This window comes from Homo sapiens, chromosome 17, assembly GCF_000001405.40.
Source record: "Homo sapiens chromosome 17, GRCh38.p14 Primary Assembly".
In the NCBI taxonomy this organism is placed as follows: domain Eukaryota; kingdom Metazoa; phylum Chordata; class Mammalia; order Primates; family Hominidae; genus Homo; species Homo sapiens.
The window spans coordinates 64,152,218-64,170,781 of record NC_000017.11 but is presented as its reverse complement, the minus strand read 5'-3'; the positions used below and the strand labels follow the sequence as shown (position 1 = coordinate 64,170,781).

The 18,564-nt window shown below is 45.5% G+C and overlaps 1 protein-coding gene across 13 annotated transcripts in view; it reads left to right on the top strand.

The window, feature by feature from the left end:
* The window catches only part of TEX2 (testis expressed 2), a 116,034-nt gene that overhangs the window by 92,479 nt on the left and 4,991 nt on the right, over window positions 1–18,564 (top strand). For 10 of the 13 annotated variants that reach the window (NM_001288732.2, NM_018469.5, XM_047436394.1 and 7 more), the window contains exons 8-10: window positions 9,849–9,981; window positions 15,815–15,940; window positions 17,628–17,837. In NM_001288732.2, coding sequence (NP_001275661.1) covers window positions 9,849–9,981; window positions 15,815–15,940; window positions 17,628–17,837 — 469 coding nt within the window. The remainder of the gene's footprint in view (window positions 1–9,848; window positions 9,982–15,814; window positions 15,941–17,627; window positions 17,838–18,564) is intronic. The other 3 variants (XM_017024846.3, XM_011525000.3, XM_047436397.1) reach the window with 1 other exon arrangement.

Here is an 18,564-nt window from a genome sequence, read left to right as displayed (position 1 = left end):
GGGTGCCTGTAATCCCAGCTACTCAGGAGGCTGAGGCAGGAGAATCGCTTGAACCCAGGAGACGGAGGTTGCAGTGAGCCAAGATCGTGCCACTGGACTCCAGCCTGGATGACAAGAGCGAGACTCTGTCTCACAAAAAAAAAAAAAAAAAAAAAAAAAGATTTGGAATAGATCCAAGCTCCCATCCTAAGTCTTTTAGTCTCTTGGTTATTATAGGGCCTCCTCCAGCCCAGTGATGCACACATGCCAGCTGATGGGGCCTGTGCTTTTGTAGGGGTTGCAGCCCTTGCCAGGGCATGAGGCAGTGGCTGGATTTCAGTTCCGCTCACCTCTCATGGCCCTCACGGGTGCAGCTGCCCCAGCCCTAGCCGCTTGCCAGGAGCTGCCTCTCCTCACATGTGTTCACATCCTTACCTCTCCTGACTTGTAGGTTCCAGATTTTTTGACTTTCATGTCTTCTGTCTTTATGTTCCTTGCTACTCCTAGTAGGTGCTCAGTACATGTTTGAGAAATGAAGACGTACAGTATATTCAAAGGCAATATTTTGAGAGTAGGGCTCCTTGCTGGAGGAAAGTTCTCAGATTTGAGTTTTTAAACATGTTACTAAGACATTATTTATGTCTGCTTTTGTGGGTGGGGGGTTAAAGAGTTGATCAGATTGTAGAGAGTTTGTGTAACATGATGATGATGATGATGTAAGGATTTGTATCTCTTATGTCACATAAACCATAAATACGGTTTTAAAAGGATCTTGACAGGGAAAATTTAGTACACAGGAGTTTGGTAAAAAAAGAGGAATGAGCCAGGTAGGCCAGAATAGCCCATTAGCATGCAGAGAGAATTCTCACTGACGTTTTTACTGTAGCCTCCCTTGGCAAGTGAGCCTCTTTCCACTTCAACCATATTTACATTTTTCCTAAAATGGCTTAGGAACAAGGTAGGAGAAAAACTAATTATAGCTTTTCAAGAGAGTGATAGTTGTTTTAAAGTAAATGTTTTATAAAATTTGTAGAGCATGGAAGCTACTTTTCTCTCTGGCTGTATCAGATGGTTCTTGAATTGTGTTTAGTGAAATCAGTTTTTCTGCTGTTGTGTACATTTGATGTAAATATGAAGAGATTTTTCTAGCACTATAGTTAGCAGCTCTAGCATATCTCTCCAGCAATATTTCAGTGGACAACCCATCCATGTTTTTCGCATCACATCAATTTCAGAGAAAGAAAGACCAGGGTAGTATTTGCACATCCAGAGAAGTCCATCTAATTCCTGCATGTTGAGCTCACCTGTAACCCCTCAATTATGTCTATACCTTGATGAATCTGGGTGTGTCTAGGTTTGGGAATTTCTGGTTCACTGAAAGTAAAAGTAGAAAACCTTTCAATTCTTGGCAAATGGCTGAACTAGAGTGTTTTTAACCCCATGCAAAATTGTAAAAGATGCATTGGCTGAGTGCGGTGGCTCACGCCTGTAATCCTAGCACTTTTAAAGGCCAAGGCAGGTAGATCACTTGAGACCAGGAGTTCAAGACCAGCCTGGCCAACGTGGTGAAACCCCGTCTCTACTAAAAATACAAAAGTCAGCCGGGCATGGTGGTGTGTGCCTGTAATCCCAGTGACTCAGTAGGCTGAGGCACAAGAATAGCTTGAACCCAGGAGGCAGAGGTTGCAATGAGCCAAGACTGTGCCTCTGCACTCCAGCCTGGGCGACAGAGCGAGACTCTGTCTTAAAAAAAAGAAAGAAAGAAAATAACAGAGCTTTAGAAATAAGATGAAGATGTAACCTCGGGCCCTAGCATCACCCTGGCCTGTAATCCCAGCTACTCGGGAGTCTGAGGCCTGGGCAACAGAGCGAGAATCTGTCTCAAAAAAAAAAAAAAAAAGCACCATCTATGTGTTCACTGCATAGCTAGCTAGCATCTTCACTCCATCAGTGTACAGCTGCTACCTTTCTTCCTCTAACTCAGGTGGCCTCTCTATTCCTTTTTGCTCTTTGCCTCTTTAGAAATGTATAAGAAGCTGGTGAATGATCAGCTAACACAAACCTCATGTGAGGCTTAAAGAAACTAAATAATAAGTGTGCACGCTCTATTTTCTAATGTGTAAGCAGCCTCTTATCTCAGGACTGCCCTTTGCTGAATTTGTAGAAATTTCCGAGGAGAGGGGAGCAGGGCCACAACCAGGCCCCTGTGGCTTTGAACTCTGCAGCCTCTCAGGGCAGCTTTGGTCAGGCTTTGAGTAAAATTCACCAAACACCTAAGTGTCAAGCTTCTTAACTGTTCTTCTAGAGCAGGAGCTATGGTGAGATATTTCACTATATAGATCAAAGCTTTGCCAGTTTTTAATCCATTTGAGGCTATTTAACTCCTTTCAGGGTACGTTTTTAGAGACTTGCCTGCTTGTGTAACAAGGGAGAAAATGGTATTAAAGGAACGATAAAGACATAAAGCCAGTGGGGTTTTCAAAGTTTGATCAAATCAGGTTTTTCCAAGTCCACAAATGATGCATGTATGATGATAAAACAGAAATGACCGTGAAAGAAATAAATAAGCATTTTGGATTCCAGTGCTCTACGGGGGAATCTTTCCTTTTAGTGAAATTTGAATCTGGGTGACAAGCAAACTGACTCTGAAAAGCAGAGCTCACCTTCCAGGGAAATGCGACCCAGGTGAAGGAGGCCTTCACAGCTCTAAGGAGCGCCACCTCCTATGGGATCCCCTCACATTCTTTTTAAAAATATTTCCTGGCTTGTGCTTGTTTGTTGGAGGAATATGTTCAGAAGGGATATTTTGGCCACAACTGGTTGGATTATCCCATCCTAGGGATGCTCTTCTTGAGGCAAGAGGCAGCACTGGTTTTGAGCACCAGCTCTGGACCCGACTACCTGGTCCACAGCTTCGTGGCCTCAGGCAAACCCCTGAACCACTTCACTTCCTCATCTCTCAAATAGGGATTCTTTTTTTTTTGAGATGGAGTTTCACTCTTGTCGTCCAGCCTGGAGTGCAGTGGCATGATCTCAACTCACTGCAACCTCCACCTCCTGGGTTCAAGTGATTCTCCTGTCTCAGCCTCCCAAGTAGCTGGGATTACAGGCACCTGCCACCATGACTGGCTAATTTTTATATTTTTAGTAGAGAGGGGGTTTCTCCCTGTTGGCCAGTCTGGTCTTGAACTCCTGACCTCAGGTGATCCACCCACCTCAGCCTCTCAAAGTGCTGGGATTACATGCATGAGCCACTGCGCCCAGCTCAAACAGGGATTCTTACAGCACCTACTTCATAAGCTTGTCGTGAGGATTAAATGAGTCAATACAAAAAAGGCACTAGAACAGCATCTGGAGCAAGGAGGAGCTCTATGCATGTCAACTAAGGATTGTTATTATCATGGCTGCCTGGATGCTGCTGTTAGGGCATTTAGCATGGAGGCGGCCATAGTGTCCAGTTGACCATCCTACAGATCAAAGCTGGCAGATCCTACTAGGATAAACAAAAACAAAACAAAACAAAACAAAATGGCATTCTCAGCTTTCATGGCCTTGCTGCTGTAAGAAGTCAAGTCTGTGGTTCTTCTGAATGAAATCGCACACAATGGCCATGTTGGCTTGTCCCTGTTCCAACACACACAACCTGTCTCAAGTGAATTGAATGAGGTTAAATGACCACCTTTTCCAGAGCAGCCTCACTTCCCACCAAAGGCAGATGGCTGGACGATAGGCAAGCTGTGTCCCTTAGAAACTGGCTGTGCTCCTCCTGCCTCAGCTCTGACGCCTCCTCACTCCACACACACCCTGGAACTAGCTGCTCTACCTGTGGGATATATATGGATTTCCTTTCTTTCCTTTAGGCCACACAGCAAGGTCCAGAAACCTGTGTATGTTACCCTTCCCCCACCAGACTGGCCTCCTCTACCCAGCCCTCATCCCTACCCTGGGCTGCCACCTCCAGGGCCTGCCACTCAGCCAAACTCTTTCCAGTCATTTTATTAACTCCATTAGGGTAATGTTTGTTCATTCATTCAACAAATACTCATTGTGGGAAAAACAGAAATATTCAGGAAAGGTAAAAAGGAAAATATTACCCATCATCCCACCATTCAGAGATAACCAGGGTTACCTTTTTAGTACATTTTTGGTATATGCTCTCCAAATCTTTTTTCTTATGGCTAAAAATTTAGAAAACATAGCTCTTTTTCAAAACCCTTGAAGAACTGGGAAGACTTGAAAGGGCAGTCAGATTGCCTCAATCCACCCTGCCATGTGTGTATGAGCCAAAGCCCAGAGAGGGGTGACTTGCCCGGGTCAGCAGCAGCCTCACACTTCCAACCTGTTTCATGGAGTCTAGGCCCCATCAGAGGCTGCCCATGAGCACTGGCTCTACAGCCAGGTCACCTGTGTTTGGGTCCTGCTCGTACACCATTCAGCGGTACAACTGTGGGGAAGCCACTAACCACTCTATACCTCAGTTTCCTCATCCTTCAAGTGCTGATGGCAGTCCTGCCCGCCTCGTTTGGGTGTGGTAGAGATGCAGTGTTACGTGTAAAGCACTCGGAGCACGTGGCACGTAGTAAGCATCAGTGTTAGCTGCTGCTCTCCGGCCACTGTGTTAGTATTAATAAAATCATCCTGAAGAGGCTGGGTGGGGGCCGCTTCTGTCAGCAGGTTTTTATCTTCTGTGCCTGAGTCCAGCGGTTTCAGAACAGGTGCCCACAGGTGTGTCAGCAGCGTCAGAATGATCCAAGGATGCAGACCACAACCCCTCAGGCTTAGATGAATTCATTTAGTCTTCGGGATGTTTGCAACATGAATTTAAAACTGCAAATAGCCACTGAGTGTCCACACAGACAGAGGACCCGACTGGGTTTTGCCTTGTTTTCAAGATACCAAATAACAGCCCAAATTTAGACTGAATGTCTCAGATTCTATGGAAATATTACCATGTCCCACAGAAATAGAAACCTTGTCTGTCTCCAGAGCTGCCCTTAGTCATCTGGACTGATATTCCAGACCTTAACCCACGTGCCTGGTGCCTTCACATCCAGTGTTCCAGACTGGATCCTACCAGGATCCACTACCTGTGTGCCTGGTGCCTTCACATCCAGTGTTGGGAGTGATGCTACTTTGCCACCTGAGTAATGACAGAAAACTGGAGCCAGAGTCAGTCATGACTTGCCCACTCCTCCTGCCACACGTGCTTCAAGAGTGACATCAGAGGGCAGCTACAGCCACTGGGGCTGCCTGGGCCTGAGCACCAAGGCAGGGCCATACTCTAGCACGTGGGGCTGATAGGAGTGGCTCTGACCAGACTGTGCTACGGGAAGAAAAACACTTAGTGTGGAAAGGGCTTAGTGTGGGAAGGGGAAATCATACCTCTTGTGGAACATGGGTCGGGTGGGGGACAGGGGACCCTGATTTGCAGCTTGTCAACCTTGAAGGGGTGGAGCTCTATTTCAGAGGACAGTTACAGGTAGATAAGGCTAAAAATGATGTCTATCATCAAAGACACATCCACACACAAGGAATTGCTAATTTTCTGTAGTATCTGAATGAGCAATATGGCACCAGTCTCTTTGCCAGGAGCACAACAGTCACTGGTGTGTTCTTCCCAGAGCTGAATAACTCCAACATCTGTTCTTGATAATGTTATCAAATGTTCCATTTTAAGAAGTTTTGTTCTTTGGATGCCAAATATTGACTTTCAGAGTGAAATCAGCTGTTAATAGTTACAGGTAGAAGGAAATGGAGGAGAAAATAACGTGAGGACCAAGTTCAGGTGTGCAGGGTTTTGGTTCCCTTAACTACTCCCAAGCAGCAGGTGCCCTCTCAAGCCTACTCCAGTGAGACAGATGCCTAAATAGTAATAAAACAGTGAACTGCTGTGTGAGATTATTAGATTCACATGGCCACGGGAGGACTGAGGCCATGGGGTCTGTTAACTGGAAAACCAGGCCGAAGGCAGAAGAGCCTCTTGTGGTTGTGGCCACCCCTTATCTGTGGGGACATACGCCAAGGCATTTTATGATACCAACTGGCATCATGGTCTGAGCTGCAGCAGCTGGCCTAGGCCACTTTTATTTTTCTTCAAACATACACTTCCTGAGGGCAGGGGTTCATCTCAGTGCTTTTGGCTCTGATATTGTACATTAAGAACGCATACACGCTTTTTGGTGGAATAAGCTGTAATTTTTGCCACAGTGTCTCTGTGTAGTGGTGGTAGTGGTAATTGATCCTGCCGCTGTGAAACTGAAGAGTGGAAAAACAGCATCTGAGCTCCTTCCAGGTCCTTGTACACAGACTAAGTCTTACTACATTGTCACTCGTGTTGCTGCATGAAGTGCCAGGGTTTTTTTTTTTTTTCTTCTTCTTCTTTTGAGACAGAGGCTAGAGTGCAGTAGGGCGATCGCGGCTCACTGCAACCTCTGCCCCCCAGGCTCAAGCCATTCTCGTGCCTCAGCGTACCTAGCAGCTGGGACTACAGGTGCGCACCACCATGCCTAGCTAATTTGTGTATTTTTAGTAGAGACGAGGTTTCACCATGATGGCCAGGCTGGTCTTGAACTCCTGGCCTCAAGTGATCCGCCTGCCTCAGCCTCCCAAAGTGCTGGGATTACAGGCGTGAGACACTGTGCCCAGCCTGAAGTGCCAGTTTTATAGGGGCTCGTTAATAATCGGGTGCCACTGGTTACCACTGGACAACCTCTCAACATGATGTGGAATAGACCCTTCGTATGCGTGCCTCCAGCCCCCTTTCCCAGAGAACCTCTCAGGACTGCCTGCTTACTCCTATTTAAAGGCATCAAAGATTATCCCACTCCTCAATTTCTGGTTTTGTTCTTGAGCACCAGCCAGGGCACATGGTTATAGAAAGTATTTTCAGTGAAATGCCTACAGCTAAGTCTTAACCATTTGTCAAGACTACAAAAGAAAGGGCCCTGTAACCGCATTCCTCTAGATTAAGTAGCATTTAGCTGGGTTACAGTGGAAGATGGTGCTCATGGGGCAGTGTATGTCCCCGTGTGCTCATTGTTGCTATGTTAGTCCCCAAGGGGAAGACAACCTTTCTAGTAACTGTGAATTTCATCTTTCAGTCTTGCAAGGCAGGGGCCTCCTGACTCACCTGTCACGTAACCGGTTGGTCTTTGCTCCAAGTTTTGGGAGTTGCCCGTGTCCCCAGGTTTTCAGGTCACGTTCTGCCTGCTGAATCATTGTTACAAAAGCAAATTTCTCCTACACTTAATGCTAAAATAGTCTTCTTACCCTCATCTGAATGCAAGCACATCATATTAGAGTCATTTGTTGGAATATTTATTTACCATTCATGTCTGCTTTTAAAAGTTCTTAAACCATTCCAGGCCAGGTGCAGTGGCTCACACCTCCCAAAGTAATCCCAGCACTTTGGGAGGCCAAGGCAGGTGGATCACTTGAGCTCAGGAGTTTGAAATCACCCTGGGCAATATGGCAAAACCCCATCTCTACCAAAAATAAAATATATATATATGTTAGCCGGGCATGGTGGCGGACCCCTGTGGTCCCAGCTACTCAGGAGGCTGTGGTGGGAGGATCACTTGAGCCTGGGAGGCGGAGGTTGCAGTCAGCCAAGATCGTACCAGGTGGCACTCCAGCCTGGGTGAGAGTGAGACCCCATCTCAGGGAAGAAAAAAGTTCTTAAAGCATTCTTGACTCTTTCATATTTTTATGAGTGCCAGGGCTGAGCAGGGCCCTGTGAGTGGGTCTCATGAGGTATATTCAGTGTTTAAAACAGACCCCTCACCCAGGCAGAGGCTCAGTCAGATGCCCAAGCCTCATCCTCAGATATCAGGCTCCATGGCTGACCAGTACAGCCTCTTCCCTGGCAACAGCAGCAAGGGAGACAGAGCAAGAAGTAAGGGTGGGCTGGTGAATGCAGAAAAAGGGAGGCTGCCTGGTCAGACTGTGCCAGGTGCCAGGGTGTACACAGCTCTCCCTGAAAGAGGCAGTATAGGTCTCCTTGGTGCAGACAAAGGTACTGATGGCACAGAAGTGAAGAAACTTCCAGTGAAACACAAGCCCCAATCTATGTGACTGGGCTCCTTGCTCTTCCCTGGGCCTTCCTCCACCTCCCAGCTCCTGGCAGGGACGCTGGACCACACATCATTTGGTAGAATGTCCCCGTGACTGGGCATGAGCCAGCAGTTTACTAAGCCTAAATCCATATATCTTCATTTAAAAAACAGACTAGCAAAACTTTCCATTTTGTAAGAAGTATAATTCTGGTGCCTTTAATATGTCCATTTTCAAAGGCAACGCATACTATTAATATTTATTAGAAACTTGACTAGAATTTTCAAAAGAAACGATTATGTTTGGATGTATATAGTAACTAGGTAGTTTGAATATTAATTTTCAAAGCTGGAAATACTATACAACAATAAATATCTCCTTTATTGTTGTTCTTTTACATTGAGTTTAAATCTATTAATATTAGCCTTTTGCTCTAATCCCCTTTCTCCTGAAGTGATTAAAAACTAAATGTCTTTATTAAAGCAGATATACCCTTTATTTCCAGTAATAGTACCTTTGAAGAGCAAGCTAATTAATTCTTTCTAACTGCTTAATGTAAACAAGAAATACAACAGTTTTGTGAGTATTGCTGCAAAGAAGATAATCACAATTGATCTCCATATCACTTAATTAAACCAGGTCATTCATGGAAAATAATTACCTTCCATTATGGTAAAAAGAATTTGTTGAAAACAAAATGGAAATCATCCTGCCTTTAGTGAGGAATGACACCATTAGTGCTGGGTGGGGTTAAGCAGTGGTTTTATCTGAGGTGGTGGCCGTGTAGGGGATGGGCTGTTTACTGTAATTGCTTGAAAACAATGCTGTATGTGAACGATGGTTTTAGATTAATTTCCTGCTTCCTTTTAGATGTCATTTGTCATGTGAGGATCTATAAAAGTTTATTAACATTTAAACACCCACTTAAAGGATCACATTTTGATAGAAAGTCCATGAGGTCTTCTGGAGCCCCGAGTCTGAAAAATCACAGAAAAATACTTGACAAATCATAGAATCCTCAAGTAGAAGAGGGTCATGAGATAAACCCTGTTTGCATTTTAAACCACTGAACAGCGGCCATTGCAGTAAAATTCCATGAAGCTACAAGCCTTTTAGATATGATCTCATTGGCATAGTATCTTTCCTAAGGAGCTGATTTTTAGCCTAAGGTACAAAGTGATTATGCAATTGTATCTGGATAATCCTGGGAATTGAAAGTTAATTCTTTGGTTCCCATCAGTGGGCAGTTTCCAGAAAGAAAGGAAGGTCTTAAACGTTTTTGTCACTCTTCCTGTTAAATCTGAGCCATTTTCTGTGTCCCACTCCCAATACTGGAGAATTTTAAGAAAGACAGCGGTTCTCATATGTGTCTTTAAAGAACAACCCAGCTTACAGAGAAGTCTTAGCACTTCCCTTGTGCCTCGTAACTGGCTGGGCATCAGCATGCCTTGTCCTGGCTTTGCCCTGGGTCAAGCCATTTTCTTCCGCTAGGCATATGTCTTCTTACTAAATACAAGGAGATTTTAGAAGCCAGAGGATGGGACCCTTCCAATGCTGACTTGTGCACTGAATTCCCCAGGATCCTGTGAATGGGTCCTCAGATGCTGGCTGTTTACCAGGGGCTCGATGTATTCCATGACCTGTTCTCGTGTGTGTCGATGGCACAATGTGCTCTCAGTCCTCTTCTCAACTAGAGTAGTAGACGATACATGGACTTTCAGTATGGTGCCTATTTAGATATTTTTAAATGTAAGTCATTTATAGTCATGTGTTTTTTTGAGGGAAAAAAACCTTCTGTTTTTTCACCATTTCTCCAGGACTCTGGATTGATTTGGAAATGTCCTACAATGGGTCCTTTCTGATGACTCTCGAGACCAAAATGAATTTGACCAAACTAGGTAAAGAGCCTCTTGTTGAAGCCCTGAAGGTTGGAGAAATTGGCAAAGAAGGGTAAGGGGCTATATATGAATTTACTAATCCAATCCTGGGGCACCAGCTTCTCCCTCCAGCCTTTGAGAAGCAGATTTGATGTGTAGTGGCCCCTGGATGTTGAGTGAGCTTCTGTGTAAGTGCTCCTGGACCAGAGCATTTCAGGGAATGGTTTCCTAGTCTCATCCCCAGTGGCCTGTGAGTTCCCAACCCAGCTCAGCTGTGACAGCGCCTTTGACCTCAGTGCTGGTGGTGGTACACATGGAATTGATTACCCAGAAAACATCACTGACTCAGACAAGCAGGGCAGACTCATCCGAGCAATAAAATGATCCTCGAATAGAATCATGAAGATCCTTCCGGTCATAAACAGCAATATGTGGAGCAGGCTGAATCTACCTGCTTTAATCACAAAGTCAGAATTATTTATAATTAGATGATTGATTTTGTAGCACAGAGGGTGCTCCTAAAAGTGTTTTGAGAAGCATTTTCCCTAAATAATACAATATTGACTTGCGTAGTAAATCCCTCTCTTTGTAGATAGTGTATCTGCTGCCTAGGGTTTGTCTGATTTAGTAAATATTCCAAAATTGTGAGGTAACTCATGAAGCTTAATTTTTTTCCCTCTTAAATGCCTAGAATAGATAAACTGGAACTTTTACATCCTATTCTCCTTAAAATTACTGCTTTGACTATAAATTTAAATTATATTATTGTTTTTACCAAATTAAAAATGTTGACTAGAGGCTACTTCTCACATCTTTAGCCCTTTGCATGGAATCAACAGTATGATGACATGAAAATGTCACAAGGAGCTACCTCCATGGGGTCTAAATATAAGATACTGGCTCTTAGACTTTTGCTTGGTTCTGGTACTGACCTAATGCTTTTATTCATGCTTGTGGTAGTAGCAGATTGGGGGAGCTGGGTTATGCATTGGAGAATATTCTTTTACTTAGATTATTCTGATTTATTCAAGTTACTTAATGAAATGTTTCTATTTTAATAATTGGAGAATTTTACCAGCTATATGCAATCTAACCGGTGTCTGTGCTATTTTCCTTTCATTTTTCTATTTGTTAAAATATGTTTGGATTCGGCAATCTGTGGATTTATATTTTCTGGTGAGTGTGGTATTTATCAACTCTCCACATAGCATTTCATACCCTGTAACTTCTGAGTCTTGTTCGGTCCCATGTGAAACCATGAGGAAACCTGTCTTTTCATCACGTTCTTGGACATAAAGGCATCACGTTCTTGGACATAAAAGCCTGAGAGAACCGACACCAGGAGTAGTTAAGAGGCTTTCCTGACAGGGAAAGTCTTATAGACTTCCCCAATTTGAATTGCTGGAGTCCTGATCTAGTCAGACTCAATTCCTTGTCCTGCTGTCCCCACCCCACCCCCACGCATAGCTGAGCACATTAAATCTAGCTCATGACGACAGAGTTGCAGAACCAGCTGCCTAGAAAATGAAGCACCTGAAGCAGAAGCAGTCTTGAAAATGAGATCTAATAAAAAGGGAGTGTGGCAGAGCAACCTCAGGCAGATGCGTTTGTGCAAGGAGCCCTTTCTAGAAACAGCACCATGTGGGCACAGGGGCACAGGGACTCCATTGCAAAGGGGGTCTTGGGCACCGGGGGTGGCAACCAGGCCGGTCCCTGAGGTGCTTGCCACGTATGCGTCCACATTCACTGCTATTCATGCAGCCCTCGTAGCCCAGTTTCAAGTTCATAAACTCTGGCCGATCAGAGGGTGGACGTGTTTCTGGAAAGCTGTGCTTCTCTAGACTGAGTGAAAAAAAGATCCTCTGCTTTAGGAATGTGATGGTATTATATTTCACTTATATTTCTAAAGTACTATTTTTTTCTAGAACAGTCTGTTATAAAATGTTTTGCTTCTTCCTGTGAGGGTGTTAAATTATATGTTGATGTGTAGTTGGCTATCATTTGTTTTTAAAAGTAAGGAGGAATACAATCCAGCAGCACTTCATTTGGGAGAAAAAGGCCCAGAAAAATGGACCCTTACCCCTTTTTTCAGAAAGGACCCTTTCGGGAACCTGAGAGCACTGGGTCCTTCTTTCTGCAAATGCTTCCACATGCACCATTTGGCTCACAGTTTCTAGGAGCATTGTGAATCTCTGAAAGCCCATCCGTGGTTAAGAACCTAATCCCAGAAGTGATTCCAGAATCCACTTCACTTCCTCAGTCATGAGGTTTACGGAATCACCACGCGGCTTAGTAGCAGAGGAGGGACAGGGGTCAGCATACTTATTAGCTGTTTGAAGCGTGTGACCTTTGGAACTGACATCTTCCTTAATATTAAACCTCCAAAGCACGGAACATCTGAAGAATTGGCCAGCAGCAGCCCTTTCCTGCAGGCTCTCCCTGCAGCCCATGGCCACCTGTCCAGGGCTTCACTCCACATCAGGGTCTGCTCCCTGGTGTCCTGCCTGGCAGGGCCTCGGCTTCATCTCACTGCTTTTCTCAGTCCCTGTTCAAGTGTGCAAATGATTGTGCTTTTGCGGAGTCTCTGAGGAGATGCTGCTTAACCTGTGAGATGTCCTCCTTACTGGTAGGAAGTTTGTTCACCTTTAGTTAGCACCCTGAGGGTTAGACTGAGATTTTAACCTGTGTAGCTTTGCCCTAGCAAAGTCTCTTCCCTTTGAAATATGTGTCTGCTGTATTTTCATGGGCATTTTTCCTTTAGTCTTTTCCCAAATAGTCCTTTTGTCGCACACTGCAGGTAACATAACATACAACATTCAGATGGGATTGAGATAGTAACCTGAGCAGCCTCTGCTTTAGGAACTGCCCTGCAGAGGGCCAGAATGAGTTAGTTAAAGGGAGCGCTCTGCCTTTTGGGTGGCCTTTAAATGGAAAGTGGCATGGAAGTGAAGTGTTTCCTATAAGGCACTTGGCCTCTTCCTGCTCCACCACTGCAGTCTGGGCCCTTTGTACAAGTCCCCAAGTCAGAAGGTGGCCCCATCTGACCTCTTTTGGGTTACTAGTTCACATCTACCCCAAACTACCCATCTGCCCCCAGGCCCCTGGTGTTCTGGGCACTGAGTGCCTGCAGTTTACACTGTGACTCAGTCTAGTTTGTGGGTGTGTATGCACATGTGTGCCTGTGGCAGGTGTATAGAACTGATTTTCTCAAAAGAAAAATTAGTGCATTCTTGAGTGTGGTCTCCCTCAAAGCAAACATCTCACAGGGCTTCTTAATTTAATTATGCGTCTTCATTTAAAGCATTTTGGGGGCTTCTTTTTAGAATTGCCTCCACAGTCCGTGACATTCTTTTAGCTATCCTGAGTGACAGCAAATTGTCCTGCTTTGTAGATGGTTTGGACCTTTGAGAAATTGCTAGAAGTCATCAGAGGTGGTGGTCATTATGAGACCAAGAAATAAAATATTTGGTCTAAGAGTGTCAGTGATAAAATAATTCACTTTTTCTTATATATCTGACATTTCCAAAAGATTTTTGGCAGAAGGAACATAACTGGAATAAGCCTTTTAAGGTGTCTCTTTGAAAGGATACCACACTCATCTGGAATTCTGAGGTGTGTTTAAAACAAGTAGGCTAATTACATTCCAGCACGTCTTCTACAAGTAAGTGTGGTGTATCTTCCTCTGAAGTTCATGCTGAGGTCATAAAATGCATGTTCATTTATAAAAATGAATATCAGGCAAACACTGGGCTACACTTATAATTCCTAAGTATTGGGTGCCGCATAATACTGCCCCCAGCGCGGAGAGCAGAGGTACCACTCGGTCAAAATCAGATTTTCACATCATCTGATCAGCTTGAACTGGTACAGCATTACCTAAAGTGTTCACTTCAAGCCACAAAATTTGTCCTGTTCTGTGACCTGCAGAGGATTAACTCAGTAACCTGAGAGCTTGCCACAGCGCTCAGCCTCTGGCATCTTCTGCCCAGGGTTGGAGCTGCCAGATGATATGGCCCAGTGGGGACACAAGGAGCAGTGGCTCAGCAGATCTCACTGGGGTCCCAGAGCTTGCAGGCAGCCTTTTGTGCTTTGTGGGTGAGGAGCAGGCTCCCTGTGCTGTGGGGACAGATTTCACACCTGGCAGCATGAGGTCAGAGAGCCTCAGGCACTGCCATCCTACTGATGGAGAACTCTGATGCTCTTCTGAGAGGGGCGTGTGATCTTTGGGGATTTACATCTCTGACTTTCCTCACCCAAGACCCGGTTTAGGCTTTCATAGGAATTGAATTTTGCTATATACATTTTAAATATAAGATTCCTGTGAGGGCTGCCTAACCACAGCACACTCTGATATGGCTCTGCAGCCAGTGGATACACATAAGCATTTCCTGGACCAGCCAGGCCTCTGGTGGAAGGAGGAAGACTCAGTTACGTGCTGTCCCATGGCCAGGGACAAGAGGCTTTTGTTTCTGCAGAGGGAGTTTCCCTTTAATGTGGAAGTCCAGCCTGTTGGCTGGAGCACTGGCTCTAATGTTTCAGAGTGGGGGTAGGGAGGAGCTGTGTGTCCTGCCAGGGAGGACACAGTCCGGGTCCTCTTACAGCCGGCTCCTGTTTCCAGTGTAGAGGTTTCAGTCCTACCCTCCCAGTGCACAGGGCTGGGGCCACTGCCGGGCCTTCAGTTCCACACTGGCATGTGTGCTGTGCCCTTGGGTGCCTTTGGCTCCTGTTGGTCAGGCGATAACTGTCCCCGTGGGCCTCTGGTGGCCCAAGGACAGCATCAGGAAAACCAAAGGACTGCAGCTGCAGGGAGATAGGCCCTGAGCCCCACTGCCTTCCCTTGTCCATGTAACTGTGTCCTTGTCAAAAATACAATGACCAGCCTCTGCTTGGTGACCATTTGGTTGTGTAATAGTGTTCAGAGACTACTCTGTCCCTTGTTCATTTTGTCCCATTTAAGTCTCTGGGCTCAGACACAGCCCTGCCAGTACTTTCTGAAGCAAAGCCACGGTCCAGGGAGGAAGCTGCTTTCTATAGGCCCGAGGCTCAGCCCAGAAGCCCCCAGGTCCCCTCCGACGGGAACTGGACCCCTCACCTCTGCGGGTAATCCAGCAACCCCACACCTCTGGAACTGAGTATCTGCCCTGGAGAGCTGAGTGAGGGACACTGCTGTCCCATGAGGCTTTCCCTTACTTCAGTCAAAGGAATGGTCTTTAGACATGTATTTTTCCGGAAAATTTCCTGGGTTCTCATGTCAGTTGCTTCCTAGAGTCTCCTGAGACTTTTTGTGTGTGTGTGTGTATGTGGTTGTTGGCTTTTTCTGTGACCCTCAGGAGATAGGGCAGGTGTGGAGTGAAATACGTAATTTCACTGGAAAGGAGTCATGAGTCAAAACTCACTTGGAGGGTTACTAAGCCAGAAAGCATCAGAGTTGCTGAATTAAGCCAGAGCCAAGGGACTTGCCTCAACATCCCATCATCAGTGAGAAGTGGCCATGTCACCAGTATAAGCTGTCACCTCACTCTTGCAACCATCCGCTCTTTCTGTTCATCCTCCCGTGTGGCTCCGCTGCACTGCTGGTTGAAATCACTGCATTTTATGTGCGCATCACACTCCCACCTCCTGTCCTTCTGACGCATGCTCAAAAGCAACCTCTTCTGGGTCCAAGGCCTCTGTGGTCCTGTCAGAGGCCTTGGTGCTGAAGAGTGTCCTGAGCATCTGCGCTGATCCAAGGATTCTTGGATTGGGCCTCTTCTGGTTTGGGTGGGTTGGAGAGAATGACGAGATGTAGTTAACAGTTACATCCCGACCCTGTTGTGGTTGAGTGTGTGTGCATGGGTGTGTGTGTTCTCTTTCTAAGCAGAGCTTGGGTGAGGGCAGGCAGTGGTGGTGACTCTCTCTCTGTCCAGTTGCAGGCCCCGGGCATTCTGTCTGGCGGACAGCGATGAGGAATCCTCCAGCGCTGGCTCCTCCGAGGAAGACGATGCCCCAGAGCCCAGCGGGGGAGACAAACAGCTCCTCCCAGGGGCTGAAGGGTGAGTGGATCAGTGCTTCTGTGCCTCTGAGTCTCCAGGGATCAGGACAGCAAGTTGGGAGTGAACCTTGTTTCCCTTCCTTCCTCTGTGATCTTCCTTCCTCTTTAATGTTGAGTAGATGGTTTTTTTATTAATATCCCAGGTCAGTGGTCTGTTTAAATTCCAGGCAACCAAGCAAAAAGACCCATATAGCTTTCCTTACTAAAATGGCTTTCTGCTGCTGTTTGATTAAATAATAGAGAAGTTGAAGGGTGTGCTGATGATGAAAAGCATCTCCCTGAGCCTTCAGAAGGAACCGAGCATACACCCCCTCCCCCCGGAGAGCCTCCCTCCCCTCAGCTTCAGCTGGAGTGCATTTGCTTCTGTTGAGCTGCAAGTTCCTGCAAAGCAGAAACATTCAGATGATTTTCTTTGGCGAGTTTTGAAAGCGCTGATGACTGAGCTGATCTTTTGGATCATGAACTTCATTTGGAGGGGGTTACTCTTTCCCTGTTAACTTGGGCTGTGAAATGATCAAAGTGCTTAAATAGCCTATCCACAATGATCTTTTAATTACATAAAGTGAATTGAAGAAACTAAAAGAAGCCAAATAATTCAGAAACTTTTATAAGAAAAAACCAACCTATTCACTTTTGAAATCCTACAGGAGATGAGAATTCAGATGTTTGAGGAGTTGGTGCCAAAGTTTGTGTGTATTATTTACAGTCTAGCTGCTTGACCCTCTTAAGAATGATTGCTTTTCCCTGAACACATACTTTTCCTCATGTTCTGGAACTGTGGGGGATTTTAAAAAGCAAATATCCTTTCTTCTGAGTCTCATGGTACATGTGACCTGATACAACAGCTTATTTTCTTGGCCTGTGAGCACGTCAACTTGGTGTAGCATTTTGTTTGTTTGTTTGTTTTCTTGAGACAGCATCTTGCTCTGTCACCCAGGCCTGGAGTGCAGTGGCACGATCATAGCTCAATGCAGCCTCAACCTCCTGGGCTCAAGTGATCCTCCCATTTTAGCCTCCCGAGTAGCTGGGACTACAGATGCACACCACCACTCCTGGCTAATTTTCTGTTTGTTTTTTGTAGAGATGGGGGTCTCACTGTGTTGCCCAGGCTACATTTTTCTTTAAGAAGTTCCAAGCCCTTTGAAAAGTAATTGCCACTCAAGGTAGCCATGTGACACCACCTAAAGACAGTCCATTAATTACTGATTTATGTCCTATTGATGCAGCATGATTTGTTACTTGCTGCATGGAGATTATGAGATTGATATGTCATTGGATTTCTGTCTGGTATTGGAGTAGTATAAAGGAGGACAGGTGAGAAACCTCTGCATGAGGACTTTGTCCAGCTCTCCATTGTCAAGGTTTGGACTGTTTCAGACATTTACACCTTCTCTGAAGTAGTAGTTCTCAACTGGGGGTGATTTGGCCCCCCAGAGGACATTTGCCGATGTCTGGCAACATTTTTTATTGTCATAACTAGGGGGAGTGCTATTGGCATCTGGTAGGTAGAGACCAGGGATGCTGCTGAACACCCTGCAATGCACAGGATGCCCCCCGCCCCAACACAGAATCACCACATCCAAAACATCGAGTGGTGCTCTAAAGTAAGGGGAACGAAGAGCCACAGGTTTTTGTCTGTGAAAAGAGCAAAGTTTGTGCTAACCGCCCTTTGTGTTCCACATTTGAAGGTACGTTGGAGGTCATCGAACAAGTAAGATTATGAGGTTTGTTGATAAAATTACCAAGTCAAAATATTTCCAAAAAGCAACAGAGACAGAGTTTATTAAAAAGAAGATCGAAGAAGTCTCCAACACACCCCTGCTGCTCACTGTTGAAGTACAAGAATGTAGAGGAACCTTGGCGGTCAACATTCCACCACCCCCGACTGACCGAGTATGGTGCGTAGAGGGCCCTCAGGGACAATAAGTGATTCCTCCTATTGCATGGCCACAGAAATCCCAGCCTGCTTAACCTTGAGGTTATGGAAAGTACCTTCTCCCGGGCAGAAGCACTTCCAAACAATTTTCATGGGACCTTAATATTAGTTGCAAATCTGATGGTACTTTCTTCTGTGAGTGGTGAATTCACATTCAAGAATTCATGTTCACATGGTAGGAAAAGTTAAAGTCAATACATGAAGTTTATGAGATAAGCTGTTTCTATTATTGGTCTTCCTCCTCTGTAAAGCCAACTGTTCTGCCAGTAATAACAGCTGTCATTTGTAGATAGCGCCTTTATTCTCTGCCTGGCCCTGGTTGTAATTGCATTACCTGATTAGTCCTCATAGCATCCTGTTGAGGTAGATGCCATTGTTATCCCTACTTTAAAGATGGGGATCACACATCCAACAGAGTCTGGGAAGTTAGGGAGACTTCCCTGAGTTAGGCCTCAATGCTGAGGAGTCAGGAGCATGTGCATTTGGTGTCTGAGGACTGGATTCTCAGCCCCAGCTGCATGTTAAAATCACCTGGGGACTTGCTAAAAATATAGCTATGCCTGGCCCATCCCCCCGGATTTCAGGGGTCGGGGGTGATGAAGCCAGGGTTGAGAGTCACTGAAATAAATTACTGATGAGTTCAGCATCACTGCCTGTGAATCTCAATTTAAAATTGACATGCTAAGTCC